Raw genomic sequence first — 25,913 nt, forward strand, 5'->3', positions numbered from 1 at the left:
AAGTAGAAGGATATATACAATTTAACTTCAAACCACTCCACAAACCTTCAGAAATCTAGACAGTATTGAATTGGTATATAAATATTAAGTTTAATGGAACAGATTAGAAATTCATGACTTGACTCATTCTTATATGTTCATTTGGGTGTGGAATGAGGTGCCAGAGAAAGTCAGTAGAAAAAACACTTAACAACCAACAGTGGGCAATTGTTAAATTTAAAAACAAATGTTAAATTTAACAATGTAACAAGAGGTGTAAGAAAAAGTATATATCTATGATATTGTGATATAATAAGAAATATTTGGTCTTCGTCTCTGGTTTCTGATACACAGGTTCTAACATTCTTGTGATTTCTTAAGCAGTAAAAGGAACAAAAGCATTTTTGTTATCCCTAATGAAACGGGAAAAGTTCCCTTGTCCCCCTTGTCCCCCTCACCAGGCATGCGATGGGGGTGTGGCTTGCTTCTTCAGCGCTCCTGCTGCTCAAATCTCCAGGGGAGCATACAGAAGGGCAGATTATGGGGCTCCGACCTCACGGCGGTGTCTAGGGGTGAATGTTGACAGCTCCTGAAGCCCCACTGGGTGTGTGTTACAGGGTGCTCTTTTAGTTTGCCATCTATCGGCAGCTTGTGTTAACCAGCTAGCTCAATTAGGCCATCTACCTTGTCCCAAGGTCAGAGGGTTTTCTGTATCCTGGGTTCTTGCCTTGGTGTACCAGAAGAATCGGATCACACGTGGCCTGGAAGAATGAGTGCCAAGTTTTACTGAGTGGAGGTAGCTCTCAGCCAAAGGGGGAGCCAGAAGGGAGATGGTTTTCCCCTTGAGTTGGGCCGCTTGGCAGCTGAGGCTCTCCTCCCACTGCTCTGGCCAAAATCCGCCTTGTGCCGCCAGTTGATGGCCTGCTGGCATGCTGGTGCCTGCTGGTGTGCTCTTCTGCTGGCATGCTCCTCTCGACGTCCTCTCAATGACCAGCCGCTTGCGTATTCTTCCGCTGATGTGTCCCTCATGACCTCCAGCCGCTTGTGTGTCTGTCGGTTAGGGTAGGGTCTCGGGTTTTTACAGGCCCAGGATGGGGGCGTGGCAGGCCAGGGTGGTCTTGGAAAATGCAACATTTGGGCATGAAAGCAGGAGTGCCTGTCCTCACCTAGTTCCATGGGGGTGGAACCCTAGCCAGGGACCTGCCTTTCTCTACTCAGCACTTCCCTGCCCACTTTCTGTATCATTTAAAGGGACCACACTCTTCCCTTCCCAGCACTCCCATATCACTAATAAACATCTTTCAATGTTACCCGAGATGATATTAATGAAGTGACTGGTGGTGGACCCCTAGAGAGCTTCAGGATATGGAATGGTTGCCAGAGGCACCAATCATGTGATTAGAGGGTTAAAATTTTCTCCACCCCTTTACCAGGAGAAGAGAGAAGCTAGAAGCTGAGTTAATTTCCAATGGCCGATGGTTTAAATAATTATGCCTATATGATATTCTAATGAATTAACTCTTGGGGAGCTTCTAGATAGCTTGAGGATGGGGGCTATTTACTGAAAGAACAAACCACAGTTGAAGCTTGGAATGTTTAGCCTGGACTCTCTTCCTCCGGGGATGGAACACCTGGAGATTAAGTTTGATCATTCATAATGCCTATATGATGAAGCCTCGACAGAGATCTCTAAACTGCAGAGTTCACAGAAGTTTCAGGTTGGTGAGCATAGCCGCATGCTGGAAGGGTGGCACACCACAGTTCCACATGACAATAGCTCGTGTGCTCAGGATTCCCCTGGACCTCACCCTGTGTACCTCCTTGTTTGGCTGTTAATTTATATTCTTTACGATATCTTTTAAAATAAGTCAGTAAACATAAGAAAAGTGTTTCCATAAGTTATGTGTACCATTATAGCAATAATTGAATGTAAAGATCGGGTTGTGAGAGCCCCAGGATTGTAGCCAGGTCTGACAGAAGTGTCTTTGCCCAGAGCACCCCATAGTTAAGACTGGTGGCTGAATTGGGGGCAGTCTTGTAGGACTGAGTTCTTAACCAGTGAGCTCTGAATTAACTCTGGATAGTTAGCATCAGAAATGAATTAAATTTCAGGGCGTCCATTTGTTGCCCTCAGAGGACTGAAGGATAGTTTGGTGTGAAAAACCCACATATGCCTTGTCAGAAGTGTTCTAGGGGTAGAAATAGATATGAGGGATATATACATAAAAAAAGAACCCTAATTTCTACCTCATATGAATCACAAAAATTAATTTAACCTTAATCTTATATCTACAATAAAATCTAAAACAATAATGCTTCTTGAATCAATATTGGAGAATATCTTCATGATCTGGGGTAGTAAATATGTCTTAGAATATGAAAAAACTATATCTTAGAATATGAAACTATATTCTAAACTAAATTCTAAAACTATATCTTTCGAAACTATACTCAAACTATATTCTATAGTTATATAATTTCTATAATATATAGAATATATTTCTATAGTTATATAGAATATATTTCTATATTTATATAGAATATATTTCTATAGTTAGTTATATAGAATATATTTCTATAGTTATATTTCTAAACTATATTCTAAAACTATATCTTAGAATATGAAAAAACTATATCTATCTGCAAAAGAGAAGTTAAACTTTGTCAAAATTAAAATCGTCTGCTTATCAATAGACACTGTTAATAACAAATTAAGCCATGGACTGGGGGAAACCAATATTTGTAAACCATAAATTTGATAAAGGATCTAGCTCCAAATTATATGGAAGACACTTAAACTCAGAGCGAGACTCCGTCTCAAAAAAAAAAAAATAAATAAAAATAAAAATAAAAATAAAAAGAGCCACAAAAGCCTGTAAAAGTCTTTTCACAAAAGGACAAATGGGAATTTTCCTTCCCCCCACCAAAAAAAAAATTTGCATGATCAAATGAGTAAACATATTGAGAATAAGAGGAGAAAAATTTCTCATTGTTGAAGAGAGGGCTTACAGATATGGCATATACAGAGAGGGGTAAAGACTTTCTAATATCCTGTGTCGTTTGTTTGGAAGTTAATATAAGAAAATGTGGTACATACACAACATGGAATATTCTGCAGCCATAAAATGTTACAAGATCATGTCCTTTGCAGGGACATGGATGGAGCTGGAGGCAATTTACCTTCAGTAAACTAACCGAGGTAGAGAAAACCAAATACTGAATGTTCCACTTGTAAGTGGAAGCTGAATGATGAGAGTACATGGACACATGTGGGGGAAACAGCACACACTGGGGCCTACAACACACACTGGGGCCTGTCAGAGGGTGGCAGAGGAGGAGGGAGAACATCAGGAAAAATAGCTAATGGATGCTGGCCTTAATAGGTAGGTGATGGGATGATATGTGCAGCAAACAACCATGGCTCACATTTACTATGTAGCAAAACTGCACATCCTGCACATGTGTCCCAGAGCTCAAAGTTAAAAAAAGAAAATTAATATATCAGTGTGAACTCATCTTGTGTGCCCTGAGAGTGCCTTGACAAAATGAGATCCATAATGTGCCTTCTAAATAAAATTATTTAATTGAATATATTCTATCTCTTTTGAGAAATTAATGATTTCAAGGCTATTACACCAAACATATAAGATAAACTTAAAATATCTTGTTGACAGAAACCAAGAAAATACTCAACAGCATGATACGAACATGTCAAAGTGACATCGATGCTAGTTTGAAGAGGTCCTCATTGGCCAAATACAGAACAAATTCAGCATCAAAATTTATTGATAGTTATATTTTATCTTTGAATAAAATAAGAAATCTTGAATTTACACTGGCATAAATGAATGAATAAATAGTATGATAAAATGGAAAAGAAGTACCTAATAAAAATAGGACAGACAGAATAAGAAATTTATCACCAGATGATACAATTTCCTTCACATAGCACTTCTTAATTACAAAGGAAAAATATTAACTTTGTAATACTAAAACCTGGGGATATCACTGTACCCAAGTGTGCAGGGGAATCTCATCCATATTGAGACAAATCAACATCATTTGTCCATGATATATGGACAAATCATTGTCCATATATGAAACATCATTCCTGATATACCCTAGGAATGATACAACATCATTTCAGCAAATATGTCAATTAAACAGTCTCACAGTAACTACCTTATTGTCCTAAAATATTTCAATGTTAACATAAGAAAAACTAAAGAATTCTTTCAGATGAAAGGAAGCTAAAAATGCATGATATCAAATGTTGTGAATGATCCTGGATTGGATCCTGGACTTCACTGGGGTGGAGGGAAGCGTGGTAGAAAACAGCTATAAATTACATTATTGTGGCAGTTGATGAAATTTGAACATGGCTGTGAATTAAATGATAATATTATATCAAGGTTAAATTTTCCGATTTTGGTAGCTATGTTATAGCTCTGTAACAGAATACTCTTGTTCTGTTAAAAGAAACCATCTCCAAATTATTCTCAAATGTTTCAGAAAAAACGTGCACACATGCATACAAATACATACATGGGAGAGGGAGGAAGAGACAGAGAGAGACACACCCCACACACACACACACACACACACAAGGTGCGGGGGGAGAGAATGATTAAACGATGCAAGATATCAATAATAGGTGGATCCAGATAAATGATACCGGAGTTTCTTGTACTATTCCTGAAATTTTTAAGTTCTCAAATAAATCAGCATAAAGGGTTACAAAAAATCAGATAAATGAAACCATTGAAAATGCAAATGTGAAACAATAATTAAAAGAGAAATGAGAAAAGCTGGTATAGTCATTTAAGTATTCATGTGAGAGACAGAGCTAACCTAACAAGGTTGCTGAGGGTGATTAAGGCCTAACCCTCTAGTATGTCACATGGGGAACTGCTGTCTAAAGGGATTAAATAACCCACAGTACAAAGCTAAATAGTTGCAGAGCCATGTTTACCTTCCAGATCTTTTTTCACTCTGCCTGGTACCTTTCCACATTAAATATACTGTTTCTCCTTACAAATTAAGGCATATGTACTAATCAATTGTCTCTTAACATGCAAATTAAAAGTCATCTTCTGAAATGTGGAGTAACCAAAAGAGTCATTTGTAATTTCCTCATGTTTGGCTTGCCTTTCTCATTGTGCCAGGTCAAAACACAAAATTTAAGGAGGAGATCTGGTTTGAGAGGTTTTGTATTTTTTTTTTAATTTTATTGATCTCCATTAATTGTGCATGTTCTCCTACAAAGAGGTTTCATTCTTTCTAAAATACAGCTCAATTTGGTTGTAATGGAATTGTGAATCCTCTAACATTACATGGCAATATTTCACTTTTCTAGACAAACATGAATATTTTTCTAATACCGGAAAGTAAACAAAGGTTCAAAATATTCATTAAAGTAAGAGAGCTACAGGGTCCAGAAAATGCCATGAGACATCTGCCCACACAATCACATAAGGCAGTATGTAGACTATTACACAACACAAATAGTCATATTTCCCACCTTATTTTAATCCTGAATTTTACTTTATTTGGATAACATTTAAAAAATAGATTTGAAGCACAGACCCTTAACACATCTATGATATTCTCTCTACCTTGTGAATTTCAGTGAAAGAAAGATTTAAAACCAGGCTGCAAACCATTGACACTTGGAATTGTATGAGAATGAAAACACATACACACACACACACAAACAACTCTGTATAATCCATTATATGTGAGTATTTTATTCATGCATGCCTGTTTATTACAAGAACAAAAAACTTGCTCTCCAAGACCAGAAAGTAGGACAAAAACAAATGAGAATATTCATAGTCCAATTTCAAAACTATTCCATTGATTATTTGAATTGAGGCTGTTGATCCATTATTCAAATGACTGCCTCAACATCATTAATATATATTGACATTTAGATTAATAGACAGATATTTTGTCTCTACCAAATATCTATATGACATATAAATATAAATATCCTATATAAATATATATGTGTATATAGAGAGAGAGAGTTTACATACACATTTCCTATCTTGGACCAAACTAATCAATGTTTTTGTGGTATTTAACTTCTCCCTCATCATCTTAAAAATTTTGTTGAAATGACCTGTAATTCTTTTTGATTTTTCTTAAAAATAAAATATATTTTAACTTTTATTTTATATTCAGGGAATACACGCACAGGTTTCTTACAAGGATATATTGCATGATGCTGAGGTTTGGAGTTCAAATGATCCTATCAACCAGGTAGTGATCATAGTACCAAATAGGTACTTTTTCAACCCTTTCCCATCTCTTTCCCTCCCAGGCTAGTAGTCCCCAGTGTCTATTCTTGCTATTTTTATATCCATGAGCATCCCATGTTTAGCTCCCACTTATAAGTGAGAACATGTGATATTTGATTTTCTGTTCCTGTGTTAATTCGCTTAAAATAATGGCCTCTAGCTGCATCTATGTTGCTGCAAAGACATGATTTTGTCTTTCTTATGGCTGCATAGTATTTCATAGTATATATGAACTACATTTTCTTTATCCAATCCACCACCGTTGGGCACCTAGGTTGATTCCATGTCTTTGCTATTGTGAATAGTGCTGTGATGAACATATGGGTGCATGTGTCTTTTTCTTTTGGATGTATACTCAGGAATGGGATTGCTGGGCCCAACGGCAGTTCTGTTTGAGTTATTTGAGAAATCTTCAAGCTGCTTTCCACAGGAACTGAACTAATTTACATTCCTGTCAACAGCGGGTAAGGGTTCCCTTTTCTCTAGAGCCTTAGCAGCATGTGCTGTTATTTGACTTTTTAATAGGAGCCATTCTGACTGGTATGAGATGGTTATCTTACTGTGGTTTTGAATTACATTTCTCTGATGATTAGTGGTGTTGAGCATTTTTTCATGTTTGATGGTTGCTTCTATATGACTTGTAATTTTAATCCAGTAGATAAAATTAAAACTATCTTTTATTTATTTCTCTACATTTTTTAAGAAAATATTTCTTACCATTTTTAAAACTTTACAGTTATATTACCAATTATCTTTAAACATATAAGTTGTATTTGTTTCTTGCTCAAAAGTACTTTATATGACGATTTTCATTCTCAAAATTACATTTCTTTGTTCATTTGATTGATTATGTTGTTTGCTTGTTTTTCCAGTGTACCTTCAATAAGTTATTTCTTAGTAGTCACATGACTACTGAATCATCACAAGTTTTACAACTCTAAATAATCACACATCTAAAAATGTAACCGGTAAATATTGTTAAATTAAAAACAATTGTACTGTTGAAGGCATTCTTTTATTGTCCTTTAACTCCATTAGTGATAGCGAAAAACAAATGTCAAACTAATCATTTCATTGTTGTAGGTGATATGTGCTTGTTTTTCACTTTTCCTCTGATAACATCAATATTATCTCTTATTCCTGAAATTATGAAATTTAGAATGTATTTACGCAGAGTCATAAAATTAGGCTTGCTATTATTTGGATTCCTTCATTTTCTAAGATGTAAACCTTTTTGTTTTTTAAATAAATAAGATTTTTCATATCATCCTACTTTTGCCCTATTCTCAGTTATCTCCTTTAACACCTATTAGATGAACACTGACTGTTTTAGGTTTTCATCCACATTTCTTAACTTTACTCGCATAGATTTCTTGTCTTTTTTCTTTGGAATGGATATCCAACAGAATGCATGAATCCAATCTTTAAATTCACCAAGCATTCATTTTTTAAGTTTTTGTTATGCATTTTTGCTATTTATTTTTACTTTTTTTTTTTAATTTATTTTGTAAGTTCGGGAGTAAATGTGCAGGTCTGTTACATAAGTAAACTTGTGTCACGGGGGTTTGTTGTACAGATCATTTCATCACCCGGGTATTCAGCCTAGTACCCATTGTTGATTTTTCCCGATCTTCTCCCTCTTCCCAGCCTTCACCCTCGAGCGTCTCCCCAGTGTGTGTTGTTACCCTCTATGTTAGCTACTTATATTGAGATTTTTCTTAAAACTATTTTATCAATTTGTGGGTTTACTTTTATAGATGTTATTTTAAAATAAATTCATATTTTTGAAAGCTTTGTATTATTGTAGTAATTTATAAATTATCTTCTACTTTTTTGAACAACTCAATAGAGTTGAAGTTAATTTTCTATTAAGTTTAGTGTCTATTTTTATAACTTTTAACATTTCTTTAAAATGTGTTAAATTTTTGTTGCCTGGCTATATTTGAAATTTGAGATTATCATGATATCTATCTGTATTTTCAAGTGAGAATATACATATATATGTGTGTGCGTTTGCATGCATGTATATACTTCATTATAGTGAAGAATGGTTTTATCAATGCCCCGTCACTTTTAAGTACCATTACAATTCAAGTTCTCTAGAAAAACATATTTCTATCATTCACAACTGAATTGTATACATTATGACCACTTTGGAAGGCACAATCATGGCCACTCAAAAGTGTCCCATGTTCTAATTCCCACTACCTGTGCATATGTTAGATTACATAGCAAAGAAAAATTAAGGTTGAAGAAGGTTGATAATCAGTTGACCTCAAGATAGGAAGATTAAGTTAAAATTACCTTAAAATAGAAAGTTTGGGTTCTAACAGCTGGAAAAGGGAAGGGAATGGATTCTTCTCTGGAGTCTCCAGATGGAATGAAGCCCTGTCAGCATTTTAATGTTAGCCCATGATACTCATTTCAGATTTCTGATCTCCAAAACTGTAAGAAAATAAATTTGTATTGTTCAAGTTTAAGCCACTGATTTTGCAGCAATTTTTTTTGAATAACAGTAGAAGGAAGTAACTGAAAACACTTTTTGAGGCAATCTGTTTTTAACCTAGGCGTATTACTTATAATAGCCCAACATTTTCCAAAGCAAATTATGTCCAATGCAGAAATGATACAAGTTTGGGAATTTGGGGCATTAGGAAATTGGTTAAAAGAATATTGCCAATATGGACAAATTGAAGGAAACACTTCTCTCATAGTAAACTTCACAAAGAGAAAAAATGTATTCACCAGCCACAGATTGCAACTCTAAAATTGGTTAATGTAGGTTGGTGCAAAAGTAGTTGTGGTTTCTTTCATCACTTTTAATGCAAAAACTGTAATTACCTTTGCACCAGTTTAATAATTTATCAAATGGTACTTACTAGTAAAACAAAATGCAATAAGTATAATTCAGAATGCTAGTGCGTAAAACCCATAAAAGTAAATCATGTTTTCATACATGAATACATTTATGATTATGTAATAGAAAGTACTTTTTGTTAAAAATCTTGCAAAAGTACATTTGGTAAACATTTTTGAAGTAAGCAAGTATAGTATTTATCTATTTTTTATATATGCTTTATATTTGGAAATCTGATTTTTGATTATGATTATTACGTAAACAAATCAATAAATTAGACAGTAAGCTTATACTTACTATATTGTCCACTTTTCATACCCATCATTTGTGTGAATCAATTATCGTTGATTGTCAATTACTTTCTAAATTGCACTGCTTATAACAGGCTTCTGGTTTATGTTTTGCTATAGTTGATTTTGATTATAAACCATTATACTCAACTTTAATAGACTTAAGACAATGCTCTCTATCTAGAGCAGTTAGTTTCTCTTTTCTCTAGACCAAGTGAACTAATTCAAAGAATCTAGGCTCTCAAGAAGTGAAAACTTAGAGATAAACCTAAATAAATAGATTCAATGACAGAATGAAATTATGATGGTATAAAGGCAATGTTACAGGGATGGTTAACATCTCTTGGAGATTGTGCAGATATTCAAACTACTATTACGACTTGGGACATCTTTCCTTACAAGTAATAACAGTTTTGTTGTCAATGATTGTCTCTAAATATTTTACCAGATATGGACTGGGACTTGAGCCATAGAAGGTAAAATGAAAAGAAAATCCAGGGCAAAGTTCACCTAACAATACTGCTATGACCCTCCATTTCTTGCAATCTTACCATTTTACATGTTTTTACATGCTCTTTCACAGGTCAACACATCTGTAGATCATTGCCTGAAATGACAGTAATAAATTGAGTAGTATTGCTGTTAGTGTGAAATTAACTGACGATAATGTAATAAACGAACATCTTACAAACATTAACCAATTCACCATTGATGGATATGAAGATAAAGATGTGGATTTAAAGCTAGTCTCCTTATATATAAACAATCAATGGTATGTAGCAGAAAACTGTCTACTTGGAGCCAAATAATTCATAAAACTTTAGCCTCAGTAGAAAGTCCAAAAAGATAATAAGTCAAGTAAAAGTGAAATACATTTTTAAAAATTACTCTTTACATAGATTGATAGATTAACTCACGAGGAACTTCTGTTTCTTTCAGCAGTTTTCAAGAAATATAGTTTCCCTGCCAGAAAAGTTGGCTTTCGCCTGTAATCCCAGCACTTTGGGAGATCGAGGTGGGTGGATCACCTGAGGTCAGGAGTTCGAGACCAACCTGGCCAACATAGTGAAACCCCATGTCTACTAAAAATACAAAAATTAGCTGGGCGTGGTGGTGTGCGGCTGTAATTCCAACTACTCAGGAGGCTGAGGCAGGAGAAGTGCATGAACCCAGGAGGCAGAGGTTTCAATGAGCCGAGATTGCACTGCTGCACTCCAGCTTGTGCTGTGACTCCTGCCTGGACGACAGAGTAAGACTCTGTTTAAAAAAAAAAAAAAAAAAAATATATATATATATATATATATATATATATATACATAGTCCCAAACACCAACTACTAAGTTGCAGTAAATCAAATACATTACTTATTTTTCACCAATAATATACATTATTCCTCGTATAGCTTATTGCTTAAACTTATTTAACTGTGAAGTGTTCATACCTGTACATGTTTGGATTTCTTATTCTATTTAAAAAATAAATCTATTTCACTGCTTATGTGTTAGTCATGAGCTACAATTTTAATTTTAACTTTTAACTGTAATTGTAATTAATGCAATTTGCATCAGTATTACAATTAAGATGTTCATCAAATAATAGCCAGATATATATGTACGCATATATATTTGAATATTTTATTGAAATAAACTCTTCCAATGCATTAAAAAAGACTTTAAATAAAACAAACCAGTGTAAATGGACTAAATGACTAAATTCTGCCATGCACCTCTCTATGTAGTTTCAAACTACATGGACAAGCTAGGTCATAGGTAAGTGCAATGTGGACACAGCATGAGTTAGAAAGAAAGTGATATAGATAATTAAAATCACTAGAGTTTGACACATGAGGCAGGGATGAAACTTTGGTGCTTGTGGTTTTGTAGGTGGCGCTGAGAATCTTTGAATAAAAATCTCAGTTAAAGTAACTGTATGTCTTCTTAAAGAGCCTGTGAAAATGGAGAAGTTATAGGATACATTATCTCAGAAAATGAATAAAAAATGTAAAAGCATTAGAGCTTCAACCAGATGTGCACTCAGAATTGAAAGCTGAAGGATGCAACTATCACCATGAACATGATGTACAACATCCATCTTTGGTCCATCCATTCACTTAGCGACCTGTGAATAATGTTTTTCAAATGGCTTCATCATCACTCACACAGGCCCGAACCCAGACCCACATTATAGGTTCCGGAGTCAAAATTTTGTTGACAATGAAGAGTCCTATGCACAGAAATATAAGCAAGAGCAATGTATAAATAAATCTTTTAGCATTAACCAGCCATAAAATTTTTCTTCCAGCTGGTAATGAAACAACAGAAATAATCTGAATGTTAACAGCAAAAGTGAAAACCAAGCTATAGATGCAGGTTTTATTTTGTTTTAGATTCATCAGATCTTTTACCATTTCTTTCACTTTTTTTGTTTCATTTTGTTTATGTGTTTTTGAAAGAGGTCTTAAAGTAGAAATATCAAAAGCAGGTGGTATTGTCTGTAATTATCTTCTAATGATATGGGTCAGATGTTTATTTTTTTCCATATTTCATAATATTATCACAGATTCTTCTGGTAGGTTTTTTCCAATTTACAGTTAATGTGTTTTCTAATGACATAAAGTGTAAATATAATATTGACTATTCCATTCCTGAATTTTGAATCGGAGAAGATGTGATTGTAATGAGCCAATTAAGCTATCATAAAATGTCTGAGCAGCATGCAGTTTTATTGAAAGAATTGCCTGACCTATCAATATTGTTTTCTTTCCTCTCAGATTTAATCTTGTACTTAACATGCAATGGAGAGTTGGGATAGAGCTAGAAGCCTGAGGTACTAGACAAGGCTCTGGGGTCTTTAGCATGGATAAGATAAGACATACATATTAACATGCTATTTTTCTTTTCATAAGTTAGAACAGGGCAAATTTGACAAGGACAATTAAAGGAGAAAAAGCAGCCCTGCAGCCTTCCTATCAATATTAATTCTACCTCTCTCTCCAGGCACATTTCTATCATACCCAGTAACTTTTATCCTTCAACTCCTTTCTTCTTGCTATTTCTATCCATCTCCTTATCATCATCTGGGTGCTAGCAAAATGCAACATAATCATAGTGAGGGAGTGAAGAAAATCAATTCTACACCCTTGTTTTCTCAACTCAAGCTGAAGGTGGAATCCTATTACCAAATATAATGACAAACACATGCTATTGTGGTTAAACACCTATATAAAATAAAACAACAATCGACAAACAAAAGCAATGCCCACATTGCCAGATTCTGTGTCTATCCATTGGCCTTAAGAATGATCATCTTATGTAGAAATCTTTCTTGATATCCTCTGTTTAGTTGATCCACAATTTGCTTCATGGTAACAACACTCCTTATCATAAAGACTGGTAACAACTTATGCACTTAGCAATAAAATATAATAAAATAAATGAGTTCTCAATCAGGTAATAGGTGTTTGTAAACTCAAGAAAAATGAGTGGAAGACTGGTGTTAGGTTAGCTTGAGAATAAACCTGTGAGTTTGAGTACATGACAGGTCTTTACCCTACATTGATACCATAGGATTTTTCCATAAGGAAAGCATATAAAGCCTCGTTTTCAAGCATAACAGTAGAATATATTCAGTGTAACTATCCCCTTGTTTTGATTTGTTTTTCTTCTTTGATAACGCAAGCTAAAAATCTACAGCTTTCTTTTTTCTAAGTGTGTTGAATCCAGGTCTAAAATTAACTTAGAAAAAAGAGTGACAAATGCTATATTTTTTTAACTCCAATGCATATAAGATACTTATTGAAGAGTTTATGAGATATTGTTCATTCCTTAGTGCTTATGTGAGAGGGAAAGAGAAGACAAATGGAAAAGCAGTGATCTGCAGCAGTGGAAATTCTGTACACTGACAACAGGGACATCACTAAGTGGCAGTTCAGTGTAGTTGATGGTCCCAACACTCTACCCCAGTAGATGTGAATTCTTGTTTTGAGCACCACAAGAGCTATGACCCAAACACAAAGCAAGAGGTAAACTTGATACACTCTGTTTTATCCCAGGACTCCTTTAAAAAGCATCATTATTGAATTAGAAGAAGGGCAAAATTTATTGGTATATTGAAATATTTGAATTTATGATGAGACTATTGAGTAAGTCGGCCTATCATTGAGAGAGAAATGTGCTATTTGGTTACAGAAAAAAAGGGCTAACAAATTGTGAGAGAGTTCATACTTTTAAATCATTGATAAAAATCTTATATTTTCTGGAGATAAGTACTATTGTACCCATCACTAATTCTTCCTTTTTTAAAAACAACAATTTTCCTTCATTTTAAAATTTGTAACTTAAAAAGCACTTTCATACATATTATGTCATGTTGTTTTAGGATAATAAAATGAATAGAAGCCAAAATGTAATGGGCATACAAAAAAATATTCCCAATGCCTACTAAGGACTGTAAAAGTAAGAAAAAGAAAAAGCAATTTTTATCTTCAGATACAGCAATATTTACCTTTGGGTTATCTTGGTACCAATCCTTGAGTTTTTGAAACTCACAGCAACTTGGGTTGTAACTTGAAATGTAAGTCTAGTTACATTTAAATATAAATATAAATACACATATTGCAATAAACGGTATGCACACAAGTATGAGAAAGGCAAGCGTATAATTTCATGTGCTATTTATCTGTAAATACATATACAGTCCCATGAATTGTCTTCCTTTATCATATATCTTAATTCACACACAATTATTTAAATAACATTTAAAAAATTATAAATTGGTATTTTAAATATTACTATTGCTTTTGATTTTGTTGGTGGTAGAGCAGGATAACTTTTGAAGAAGTTTTGTGTTTAAGTTAAATTTAATATATTGTGTAATAAAAATGATATTATTGTAATGACGGTCATTCATGCTGCAGATAAAATGCAATGTGCTTGGGAATATGTAAGCATGTCTTCATCGAGATGTTTTTGTACTTGTTCGAACACTGAAATTGATGCTTTCATGTTGGAACCAGGCCCTGATGAACAGAACATTCAACAGAACATTAACAGTAGGGACGAAGACAATGATAAGTAATATGGATTGCCACCAATATAATGGAATACTATGGAACATTTTCTTTTTATAGGAATTATTTTCTTTTATAAATTTATTTTATTTTTTTCTTACAGAGACAAGTTCCCACTATGTCGCAAACTCCTAGGCTGAAGCAATCCTCCCATCTCAGCCTCCAATATTTCTGGGATTATGGGCATGAGCCATCATGCCTGGCCTCAGATATTTCTTTCAAATACAATTTTACATAAAAGTTTATGGAAAAAAATAATGAATTGCCAACTCATAACACAAACTTAATGCTTACTGTGGCCATTAGAGGTTAAAAATGTAGCAATTAATCAAATATTTCTACGGTGACTTCATTTTACCCTGCAAGCATTTTGGTCTCTTCATTAGCAGCTAATGGAAATATTTGGAAAAAAGTCTAACAATGGCTGATATCTGCAATCAAACAGATATCCTTTCAGACACTCTGATGCTGAGCTACCTTTCATTAAGAAGTGTTATCAGTCTAATTTAATCTCCACATTTAAAAACTAGAATTCTGAAAGTTGCATACTATCTAGTTTTCAAAAACATAGAAGCAAACATGTTACTGAATTATACTTACTTTTGACAACTACATTTTTTCAAATTAAAAATTTCTCACACATTTGGTTGAATCTATTATTAATCTTTACTTGTTTTGAAAACCATTGCTTAGTATTTTTAACATTTCCTGCACCACAGTAATTATAACATTTTATATTTATGCTAAATAAGTGTCTTCTATTTTTATTCAAGATTAATTATATGTGTGTTTTTGTGATTAACGCAGTTCTTTAAATCAGGGGTCCCTAAACCCCAGTCCACTGACCAGTAGAAATAAAGTACACAATAAATGTAATGTCCATAAATCATCCCAAAACCATCTCCCACCCCCATTATAGGGAAAAATTGTCTTCCACGAAACTGTTCTCTGGTGCCAAAAAGATTGGAGACTGCTGCTTTAAGTGACATAAGGTAATGGTCCATGGCCTGTAAGCAACTGGGCAGCCCAGCCAGAGGTGAGCAAACAGAGGAATGAGCAAGGCTTCATTTCTATTTACATATGCTCCCCGTCACTTGGATTAGTGCCTGAGCTCCACCTCCTGTCAGATCAGCAGTGGCACTAGATCTCATAAGAGCATGAACTGTATTGTGAACTGCACATATGAGTGAGCTAGGTTGCATGCTCCTTATGAGTATCTAATGCCTGATGATCTGTCACCTTCTGCCATCACCCCCAGATGGGTCCACCTAGTTGCAGGAAAACAAGCTCAGGGCTCCCACTGTTCCTACATTATGGTGAGTTGTATAATTATTCCATTATATATTACAATGTAATAACAGTAGAAATAAGGTGCACAATAAACGTTATGCCTGTAAATCATCCCCAAACCATGCCCACCCCAAATATATGGAAAAATGGTCTTCCACGAAACTGGTCCCTGGTGCCAAAAAGGTTGGAGACTGCTGCTTTAAGAGACATACATTTGTATGTAATTTAGAATTCTATAGACTGAATGCTCCCTGACACTGGCCACTGAGCTAAACCTGAATTATGACTTTTTACCCTTGGCATGGTCTTAGCATGAGTGTAGTATCATTCTCAGCCTCTCGACTTGGAGGTTGACCATGTGGCTTGCTTTAACTAACGGTATGTAGTCATCCATGACCGTGTGCTTTTCTGAATCTAAGTCTTAAGAGTCTCATGTAATTCTGTGTATTGCCTTGTGCTTTTGACATCACTATGATAAGAGCATGCCCTGCTGATCTGCTAATCCAAGGAGGATGACATACATGGAGAGTGGACTAGAACTCACAGACCTGCAGTGTGGAGAAAAATGGTACATCTAAACCCAACCTGGAGCAGATGACCCCTAGGTGACCTCAGTTTCATGAAAAAACAGTTAAAATCAGAAGACCTTGTAAAGCTGAGCCCTGCCCTGGTCAGCCAACTCACAGTTGGCTGATAATGCCTCAGGGCATTAGCAGGTCTATGATTCTTAATGTAGTTTGATATAAAAGCACACTTTTTGGTGTGGTTTAGCTCCATGTCTCCATCCAAATCTCATCTTGAATTGTGATCCCTATGTGTCGAGGGAGGGTCCTCATGGGAGATGATTGGATCATGGGGGCAGTTTCCCCCATGCTGGTCTCATGACAGTGAATGAGTTCTCAAGAGATCTGGTTGTTTGAAAGTGTGGCACATCTCCTATCTCTCCGTCTCCTGCAGCTATGTAAGAATTGCTTTGCTTTCTCTTTGCCTTCCACCAGGATTGTAGGTTTCCTGAGGCCTCCCCCGCCATAACAGAACTGTGAGTCAATTAAACCTCTTTTATTTATAAATTACCCAGTTTCAGGTAGTTTTCTATAGCAGCGTGAAAATGGACTACTACCCTTTTTTTTTTTGCTTTTGATTTTGTTCGTTTCATTTGGCAATAGCCAATTAATACAACTACTTTATTTTTCATAGATATTTTCCTGTGTTTCTTCTTCTGTCCTTTTGCTAAAATGGGTAATTGATATTAAATAATTAAGTAAGTTACTAAGTGTGCCACGTAAAATTACTACAGTGTGAGGACATTACAGTGTACGTACTATGAACAGTAGACTAACCAACAGGTCAACTAGGTTCAGTTTATTCCAATTCACAAGGGGAATGCTTTGAGAGTTTTTGTATTTGTCTGTTTTTTTGTTTTTTTTTTGGACCACCTAGCTTTCTTTTTAGTCTGGTAATTGAAATCTCTTTTTTTTCTTTTTGATATTTTCTTTGATGTATGAATAACTACTTGGTGATACCTTAAAAAAGCATGCTCTGAAAAGCCACCTAAAGCCAAGTATTGAAGCTTTAGTCTCCCTTAAATTTTATTTAAACATTTAGTAACTTTGCTTTATCTGGATAAGCTCTATCTGGAGCAGTTCTCCTAAGTGCTGCTCACTGCCGTCAAGTCATTTATAACCCATCAACATTGCACTTAGTTTTATCTACTCATGTTTTATCTTCTTAAAGGTAAGGATGCTATTGGGTTGAATTCAGTAAGACATAGAAGTGAATTTTCACTGCCATCATAAAATTCTGCCTGGTTCTTACTGTGTCATGGCAAACATTTGTGAGATTCTTAGTTTATGTTACTAGTTCAATGTGTACTCAAAGTCTAACTAAATCACAAAGAATGAAGTTTCAATTCTCTCCCCAGAATAACAGCTATGTTGGGAAACTCACAGTCACCTGATTGGAACACAAAGTCTATATTCAATGGCAAAAGAAACCAAATCACTTAAGTCAGGATAATAAACAATCACAATGTAGAAAAAATTAGGTTGTGTTACATATAGTTTTTTTTAACATCTAGCGAGGTAAGATGCCAAAGGCAAGCTTAGATATAAAACCACTGTAAAACTGATTTCACATAACACCAGTGTAGAATCCAGGCAATAATTCACTTAATCATGCTCTACAAAATCAAGATTGCATGAAGTTCTACTGTGAATGGCTGTCATTACTATTGATTAGAATAACTAGATTTAGACAAGTTGCTGAAAGGATAGACTTAAAATAATCAAGTTTCAATAACATTTCACTTTTAGAGAAATCTGTGAAAGATATAATCAAGAATATCACTTTCAAGTAACTAGGACTTCATAAATCCCTGAAAAAAATTTATTTTCCAAAATAAATAAAATAGAAGAGAATATAATAGAGAAGGTATGTGTACAATATGATCAGGCATTATGAATATATGTGTGTGTATATATATATATATATATATATATATATATATATATATATATATGTATACCTACGTGTGTGTGTTTTTGTGTATAAAAATGCATCTCTCTTCCCAGTGTCATATCTATGGGATGTGGAAGAGCTAAACTATTATACATGGTAAGAATGATTTATAAATGATGCTATTTTCTAGTTAGTGATAAAAATGAAAAATATCTGGGAACTTAAATATTTATTTCTACCTTTTTTGACAAATTGGAGACCAAATTCTAGTTATTGAATCAGAACGTCTAATTTAGATGTAATGGAGTAACACAACTGCCAAGTGTCTTCTAAGGCAGTGACAGTTACGTTCTGTAGACCAGTTGAGTCATTCTTCTTGTATCAATCTGAGATGACTTAGCAGGAGACCGACCCACACATGCAAATTTTAATTATTTTTTCTTTCCTTTATTTTATTTTATTTTATTTATTTATTTATTTATTTTGAGATGGAGTCTCCCTCTGTCACCAGGCTGGAGTGCAGTGGCACGATCTCGGCTCACTGCAACCCCCACCTCCTGGGTTCAAGCGATTCTCCTGCCTCAGCCTCCCAAGTAGCTGGGATTACAGGAGTGCACCACCACACCTGGCTAATTTTTGTATTTTTAGTAGAGTTGGCATCTCACTGTGTTGGCCAGGATGGTCTCTATCTCCTGACCTCGTGATCCACCCACCTTGGCCTCCCAAAGTGTTGGGATTACACCTGTTAGCCACCGTGCCCAGCCTACAAATTTCTATTTTTATTTCATTTGAAAACTCACCAGCAACAAGTGGAGCATATAAAATAAAATGAAGAAACAATTTAAACTACAAATTAATTATGAATAAAGAAAATAACTATGGATGCTTTATAACGTAAATTCAAGGAAAATGTAGAAAGTTTTGGAGGTGGTAAATTTTAAAATGCTTTTTTTATATATTAATAATAAGTAAAAGCATACCCAGACTGATTTTACCTAGTTCTTGCTGAAACTCACTGGTCTTCAAGAAGAGTTCTACAGGAAACTGAGATTTTCAGGGCAGTCTAACAGTTTTGATTCAAGACAGGAACATGCCTAGATTTTAGCTCCCATGCTAAACTTTATCAAGGTAATTTTGCTTTTATCCATTGCTTTTTAATATTAATGTTGTGCAGCAAAATATTTATTTTACAAACTATTTTCAATATAACTTGTTTGCAAAAGAATGGCTGTATTACTCAATATCTTTAATATTTTTAATTAGTTATTAATTTAAAGTTTGTGATATGAAGTTAATAAACATTGAGCAGATTATAATGACCTAAATGTAATCTATAGTACGGTAGCTAATATTAGCAATGTTGCTAGACGCTTTTAAATTAAACTGCATATTCAACTACAGGTTTCAATCATTTCAGAGTAATTTATATTTGACATATTCTTCCTCTGAAAACAACTATAAAACCAAGAAAAAATATGTATATGGAGATTCTTTTCAGGCATTGAACAACAGAAATGCATGACTGAGATTCCTTAGGGAATGGGCAAACATGAAGTGACTCTGTCTCCTTGGCCTCCTTTCTGCAGACATTCTCCTGGCATGTCATATATACATATGAAGAACTACGAGAGGGCAGTTCTCTTAGCCAAGAATTGGGAAGAACACTTATGCCAGCCACATTTGCATGTGCTACTTCAAACTGTCCGCTTATAAGGCTGCCAGTTTTGACTGGGGACCAATAGAAGAGCATACTCGGTAATGAGGTGAGGTTTCAGTACAAGCTGCTCTTCTTTGGGATCTTATGGTGCAGCAAATTCAATAACGTTCAATATGTTTTTGAAAATAGGGATGCTTTATGGTATATCTGACAAATAACAGTGGGAGAATCATGGAGAAGACTTCTAAGATTTTCAGTCAAATCTATGCCATCTTCTACAAATAATTTTTCTCCTCTAGAAAGAAACAAAAACAAAAAACACAAACAAACAAATACTTGTGGCTTGCTATTCAGCCCTGATAGAGGGTGAATAATCATAGTTAATTAGTTGATCATGCTGTCTGAGATTTCCATCATAAACTGGATGCTATCACAGCCACATGCCATCGTTTGGGTATGTACATCAGTTACCTATATACGTATACACACAGACACATACACATATAGATATAAATACATGTGTACATAATAGATGTGTATTCCATGCTCACCAAAGGGCAATTATTACAGAGATGGTTCTCAATAGCCACCCGTAGACAATATGGTCTATTTTAAATTGATTTTATTCAACTTCTTTCTCTTGCCATGGTATTGCTTTATTAATGGCTATTTGAAAACTATGGTGAGAGGGATATGGTATATACATGGATTCAACATCTTACCAAAGCTGATCCATCTACCACAACTATTGAGTTCAGAAGTTACCAAGAACATGAGACCCTGACATGGCCCCCTTTCTTTGAGATCAGCCAGTTAATTTTGTTGACCTCCTATTATGAAGTAGGCAGAGATTTATCATCATCACTGAAATAGACATGCACTGGGGACGTTTTTCTTTCTTGCCCACAATAATTTCACCAACACCAACATTTCTGGTCTCACAGAATATCTTATCGACTATTATGGTGTTTCATAGAGTGTTGATTCTAATCGAGGGACTCATTTTATTGCAAGGGATATGGAGCAATTAGCACATGCCCATGGAAGATTTTTTTCCATGATAATTCTGTCTTTACTAAATTGTAATGTATTTTATTTTAATCAAATAATATCCCTTCACAGAATATACACTAAGAAATGACTTTTCCTAAATGAAATTGCTTTTTTATTGCCTTTCTACCATATACTCCATTTGCATCTCTAGAACATTAAAAACAGTCTTTGGATGTTACTTCTTCAGCAAGTGAAGTGTGTTATCTGTAAGAGTTCTGGTGGATATAACACTTTCTTTACAGGCATGGGCTGACAGGCTGCATTAATGAGTCTGAATATCACCAGCGTTTTTAAAACTTTTTCACCAAGGCTAGATGAATTTTGTATTTTCAAAGTTATGAAAATGTAAGAGCCTGATGTTTGTTTTTTGTTTGTAATTTTTTTATGTCTTGAAAGAAGAGAGGAAAATTATCAGGAAAACCACCTGAAAATAAATTGAAGCAAAAAAAATTGTTCGTATGTTTATTCATTTTTTCAAATTTTAGACTTTGGCAGTACACATGCAGGTTTGATGCATGGGTATGTGGCGTGATGCTGAGGTTTGTGCTTCTAATAATCCCATTGCCAAAGTAGTGAGCATAGAACCTGACAGGTAGTTTTTCAGCTTCCTCTCCCCTCTCTCCTCCGTTTTGGAATCCCCAGTGTTTGTTGTTCCTGCTTTGTGTCCATGTGTATCCAATGTTTAGCTCCTACTTATAAGTGAGAACATGTGGTATTTAATTTTCTTTTTCTGTGTTAACTGACTTAAGGTAATGTATGCCCCTGGAATTAATGAACTTACCACACACCTCATCACTAAGAAGTGGCTGACTGAATGAAATGGCTTGCTGATGACTAAAGTATAGCATTTGTTGAGACACAATACATTGAAATGATGAGATTTTCCCTTACAGGATGTAGCTTATGGTTTGAATTAGAGACCATTATATGATATTTTCACCTTCATAGTTAAAAAAACAAAAATTAGGAAACCAAGGGGTAATCATAGAAGTGACTTCCCTTGCTGTTATTCCTAATAAACCAGTAATAGAATTTTTTTTTCTTGGCAATTTTGAGCTCTACTTCTAAGGTGGACTTAGTTATCAGGGAAAGAGAAGGTAACTTTGGTACTGCCAAATTGGAAAATAAGCTTACCCCTGATAACCTTGGGCTACATATCCACTGAACTAACCACAGAAAAAGAAGTTACTCTAACGGTTGAAGTGATTGATACTGATTACCAAGAGGAAACTGTTTTGATTTCACACAACAGGAGCACAGAGTATTCAATGCTTTTAAAAGGAAGAGGTTCATAGCACTTTTATGCAAATAGTAAAAGTAATGGAAAAATTAGAGCAAACTAAGAAAGCAGAACTAATGAGGACTCAAATACTTGAGAAATAAAGGGTGTGAGTTATTTTACCTGGTAAAGAATTCCAACTTGCTAATGTTCTGGCTGAAAACAAAAAAAAACATAGACACAGGAAGGGGAACATCACACTCCAGGGACTGTTGTGGGGTGGGGGGAGGGGGGAGGGATAGCATTGGGAGATATACCTAATGCTAAATGACTACTTAATGGGTGCAGCACACCAACATGGCACATGTATACATATGTAACAAACCTGCACATTGTGCACATGTACCCTAAAACTTAAAGTATAATAATAATAAAATTAAAATAAAGGAAAACAAAAAAAAATCATTGAATAGGTAAGAGTTTGCAGATATCAAACACAGTCTCGTGACCAATTACAGAAGTGAAGACACTGGTAGTTTTATATGCATTTTCTTTGCTTGTTATGTTTATATATTTACTTATATACAGTTATTAAGTATTTTCATCTCTTTCTACTTATTATTTTATATACACATTATTGAAGATTTAACTTACAATTTTTTGCCTTAGATAAGAAATATTCAGTTGAATGGTTACTGGATTTGAGAATTAACCAGTGTAGCTAGTGATAGGTAAAATGACAGTTGAGACCTAGTGTCCCCTCATGGTGGTGGAGGGTAAGAACTTCATCCCTAGTACATAAAATAATGACATCCTGTTAGGTGGAAACAGAGTTGTTTTTGTTGTATTATAGAAGTTAAAACGTTTGAATAAGGGTGTGTATGGAATATGAATAACCATCTACATAGAATATGACAGTTATCAGTTTATTGACTTTCAACTGCAGACCCATCTTTTCTTTCCTGCATTGTTATAGTGGACCTGGACATTACTTAGCCAACTGATGTCAATGTTAAGCTTTGTCAAAAAAGGGAACTAGAAAGATATCCCAAAACGAGGGCAGGAGGAAGGGATTCTGCTGTTTCAGCATCACGAGCAGTGGATGGCTAGGTAGTGTTAACCTCAGAGGCCCTCATGAGCCAGCCCATAAACCTCAGTGAAGCTGAAATACTCTGGTGGGTTTCTCTAAAGCCTGGTAGGCTACTGCTATGGGCTAGTTGCAGTTCAAACTCTTGAGCAAGTTTCTTCACCACTTAGAGGGCTGACCTACACCCTCCAGCAAATTTACTCGCCATGGCATTGAAAGTGTTCCAGGGATAGCTCCACTCTTTGGAAAGAGGATTGAATCACAGTTTTGGGGGCTGTCTCCTACCATAAATTTCTAAGTCACTTCCCTGTTTGCTTTCTCTTAGCCTTAGAGGTCGAATCAACTTTATATCTTTGCTACTGTTGCACCCCTTAAAGACTTCCTTTTCTGAGTCACTAATCATATGTACTAGGTAACAATTCTTACTATTTACTTTGCCTTGTTCAAATTATCAGTATACTTTCTGTCTCTTGACTTGACCCTGACTAATACAACCATATGTCTTGTCCCAACTCTATTCTTTCTTGACATTTCTTTAGCTTTCCTTTCTTTCTAGTTCTATTATCTGCTTCATTTACTCTTTTTAAGATTGAATTTTAAAACTTATGAAGTAATGGCATTTATGAAGTAATGTGTTTTTAATTTTTGAAGCAGGAGAAATTAAAGGCTTTTAAAATTTCTTTAGGGAAAAATGGTATATTTTAAAAATGCTAGCTATCTTTATTTTCTTGTGTTTAACAAGCCTCTGACTGTTAAGATTCTGGAGTCAGTATTCAGTCCAGGTTCAAAGTACTGGCATGCCCTTTAATATCATTACTCTCTCTGCAACTCCAGATAAGTTTAACCACGTACCATCTATAGAGATAATACATATAAATGAGTGGGCATCAGGGTATGAAAACATTAATTTATATGCTTTTAAAAATACAAAATTTAGCCTAGTGTAATAAATTACTTATGGGTAAGTTGGGGAAGAAGAAATATAAAACGATAAATGTAATTTAAAATAGGACGTAAACAAGGAGGACATCACGTGTTCATGTGAATCTTGTAATTGCTTCCATGTTTACCCTATAAAAGAGGTCCAAATGACCTCAGAAGCTAAAGCCAAAAAAAAAACTGTCTTTGAGTAATAACTAGCTCTTTTATATTTATTGATTGCATATATGATTTTTGTTTTGGTTTATGTTTCTCTTACATATTGTTTACTTATTTCTATAATCAGCCTTAAAGTTTAGTCTACCTAAAAATGGAGGAATTTCACAATAGAAAGATCAAGGCAGGAAAATGTCAAGTAAATAACCTCCTTAAATACTTGAAAGAAAATTTTAATTTTGTTTTCATGTTTCCATTGAAAAGGCAAGATAAAGAGTTAAAACAAAAACTACGCTAATTCATCATGTAGAGGAAATGTTACTAATATTGGCTTTAACCAATGAGGCTGATTTGTATTTGGAATGGTATTCAGGTTCACATTACTGTAGAATAAGTAGGAAGCATTTTTAAATTAATTTCATAAGTAACAGACTTTATTGATATTTTAATCAAAGTAAGTGTGTTAAATTCCCTCTTACTTTATCAAATTAATTCATTTTTATATTACTGCATTAGACCTGAAGATGAAGATATTTTACTTCCTTTAGATGCAACCAGATGAAGACCTGTGGAACAGATGGAGGGCACACCCTGGGATGGAACCTTACAGAGACAGATCTGCCATCAAATCTCTGCAAATCACATTTTACAACTTCATGGGGTACACACCTATGGCTATTTTATAATGTAATTTGCTGCCACACAACAGACCTTGTAGCCCTGTAAAATGACTATTTTGTTGTCTTTAAAATATGCCTGAAAACGATAACAAAATAAAGGAGCTGGAGTATCATAGGGAGATAATGTCCAAAGGAGGTACATGAGATGCGTTAACAAGACCTCTTTCTGCCAAAATTCCTGCTTTGTATTCTAACACTATATTCCTCAGGAGTGAAAATGGGAGTTTGCCATGAAAGATTAATTTTTCCAGTTTCTTATGATTATAAGCACACCTGTTCTCAATAACTGTGATAATAGACTAAAGGAATTCTGTGCTAAGTACTTCTTCTCTTATGCTATTCTGCCTAGAACAGGAATTTGTCTTTGGATAACTGATTCTCAAAACAGTGAGTTGTTCATGAGGTGGAATTTATAATATTTTATAGACAGAGTGTGAACTTATTTTATAATTGAATCTTTGAAACATCTCATCCATTCCTAGCTGCTTTTATGTCTTAAAGACAATCTGAACTCTGAATATTAACTATTATAGCATATCTGTTCATAGCTTTATGTTATTCATTGTATCTTGCAAATGAAAATAATGAGACTCTTGGTTATTATTTTACTATATTTTAGATCAGTGCAACTGTTAATCTTCAATTCATCATTCATAATTACAATAAACTGGGTCTATGGTCTCTGTGAAACTTTCATAGAAGAGAAACAAAACTGAGTGATAACTTTGCATTTCTAAAATGTAAAATAATTGAATTTTTTTATAAAATGCTACAGATTATTCCAAAGTTTAAAGCACCAAAAACGTTTTTAAAGATGTTATATAAATAACCACAAAAGTTCTACTTTCAAATAAAATTTATAAAAATATTAAGGCCATA

The 25,913-nt window shown here is 34.6% G+C and overlaps 2 annotated features.

Annotated features, from left to right (window-relative positions):
* Window positions 487-988: an enhancer, noted in NCBI's record as "H3K4me1 hESC enhancer chr3:103910877-103911378 (GRCh37/hg19 assembly coordinates)". NCBI's record gives its function as "activates a minimal SCP1, AML or CMV promoter by ChIP-STARR-seq in naive H9 embryonic stem cells {active_cell/tissue: H9 hESC(naive)}" and the evidence as "EXISTENCE:reporter gene assay evidence [ECO:0000049][PMID:30033119]".
* Window positions 989-1,488: an enhancer, noted in NCBI's record as "H3K4me1 hESC enhancer chr3:103911379-103911878 (GRCh37/hg19 assembly coordinates)". NCBI's record gives its function as "activates a minimal SCP1, AML or CMV promoter by ChIP-STARR-seq in naive H9 embryonic stem cells {active_cell/tissue: H9 hESC(naive)}" and the evidence as "EXISTENCE:reporter gene assay evidence [ECO:0000049][PMID:30033119]".

The sequence above is a fragment of the Homo sapiens genome, chromosome 3, assembly GCF_000001405.40.
Source record: "Homo sapiens chromosome 3, GRCh38.p14 Primary Assembly".
In the NCBI taxonomy this organism is placed as follows: domain Eukaryota; kingdom Metazoa; phylum Chordata; class Mammalia; order Primates; family Hominidae; genus Homo; species Homo sapiens.